General features: G+C 41.1%; 1 annotated feature.

Moving 5' to 3' along the window:
* Positions 980-1,505: an enhancer, noted in NCBI's record as "NANOG hESC enhancer chr17:60198431-60198956 (GRCh37/hg19 assembly coordinates)". NCBI's record gives its function as "activates a minimal SCP1, AML or CMV promoter by ChIP-STARR-seq in naive H9 embryonic stem cells {active_cell/tissue: H9 hESC(naive)}" and the evidence as "EXISTENCE:reporter gene assay evidence [ECO:0000049][PMID:30033119]".

Genomic DNA, 1,887 nt, shown 5'->3' with positions numbered 1-1,887 from the left:
ATAATGAAAGCAATGATTCATTAACAGGCCAAGCTAAATTTCAAAGAAAGGTAATAGACTTTTGGATTGTTTTGACCATCCAATTAATAAAGAGAAATAGAGCATATGAACACATTGGGGAAAATATTTAAATTTCTTTAAAAAAAAATTCTTTTAAGGCTGATCAATTGAAGCAGTGGGAGTGGAGAAGGAACAAAGAAATCTGTAACCGGTTGTGATCAATTAGTTGTAAACACCACTGCACTCAGACCAGCCAAAACATTTAAATTTCTCAGATATGACACAAAGTGCCAACATTGAGAAAAATAGCTTAAAACTTGTATGACTGCAATGAGGACATCGACGATAAACTGGTTAATCAGCTAATCAATTCAAAAATTGAGATTAATATTTCAAAAATCTTATAGCTACTTGATGAAAAATACTTGGTAGAAGTTTTACCAGACTTGACAATTCTAAATTTTTTTTTTTTTTTTTTTTGAGACAGAATCTCGCTCTATTGCCCAGGCTGGAATGCAGTGGCACGATCTTGGCTCACCACAACCTCCACCTCCCAGGTTCAAGCAATTCTCCTGCCTCAGCCTCCTGAGTAGTTGGGATTACAGACTTGTGCCACCATGCCCAGCTAATTTTTGTATTTTTAGTAGAGACAGGGTTTCACTATGTTAGCCAGCCTGGTCTCTAACTCCTGATCTTGTGATCTGCCTGCCTCAACCTCCCAAAATGCTGGATTACAGGCGTGAGCCACCACACCCGGCTGGAGAATTCTAAACATTTACATGACATTACCAATTATGAATTATGAAGCTGAAAAACACCATAATAAAAATATCATGTTTTGATATTTTGTGGTGGTTTTTTTCTCATTCTAAATAAAAATTCATATTTGCATCTCATTTTGTATTTTTTTAATTGTTTTTAATAGACTCCCTCCTCCCCAGCTGCATAAACTTCAGGTCCCATAAAAACTGAATACGCTCTCCCTTCCACCCACTGCCTCAGTGCCTGACAATACATACATCGCCCAGAACTCATTTGTTACCCAGGGAAAGAGTAAAGGATCATTGAATTAACTGAGATTAAATTTCCACCATGTGCCAGATATTGTCTGTTGGTACTCAGAAACATCTCTATTCTTGTAAGCATCTCTATTCTTGTAAGACTCCCAGTACTTGTAGTGACTACTTTCCCCAAGCTCTCCTGATAACAACCTTGTTTAGATTCAGTCAATGGGAGGCATTCCAGTAAGGTTTGAAAGGTGAAAGAGAAGCAGAAGCCACCATTGTTCCTCCAACATCAAAGGCACGTGGGCCTCTGTGAACATTTTACAGTGGCTTCTGGGTGTCTTGCTGAATTCCCTCTGCTTTGACTATGCAGGCAGCTGAGATAGCTTTTTAAGATTTCTGCAACTTCCTTATTTCCTCAGATTAGTGGTGGTTTTCCCGGACCTTTGCTCTCCCAGCCCTTTCCAAAGAGTGATAAACATCTTATTCCTCATATTAAATCCCTTCCTGCCTGAAACATTTGCAGCAGTTTCTGTTTTCTGCTTGTTTGTTTGTTTTTTGAGACGGAGTCTCGCTCTGTCACCCAGGCTGGAGTGCAGTGGCGTGATCTCAGCTCACTACAACCTCCACCTCCGGGGTTCAAGCGATTCTCCTGCCTCAGCTTCCTGAGTAGCTGGGACTACAGGCGCCTACCACCACGCCCAGCTAATTTTTGTATTTTCAGTAGAGACGGGGTTTCACCATGTTGGTCAGGCTGGTCTCAAACTTCTGTTCTCAGGCGATCCGCTCGCCTTGGCCTCCCAAAGTGCTTGGATTACAGGCGTGAGCCACCGCACTCGACCTTTCTGTTTTCTTTCCACATCCTGATTGATGCACTTGATAG

Source organism: Homo sapiens, chromosome 17, assembly GCF_000001405.40.
Source record: "Homo sapiens chromosome 17, GRCh38.p14 Primary Assembly".
Classification (NCBI taxonomy): domain Eukaryota; kingdom Metazoa; phylum Chordata; class Mammalia; order Primates; family Hominidae; genus Homo; species Homo sapiens.
The sequence above is the reverse complement of the archived record's forward strand: the minus strand, read 5'-3'. Positions and strand labels throughout refer to the sequence as shown.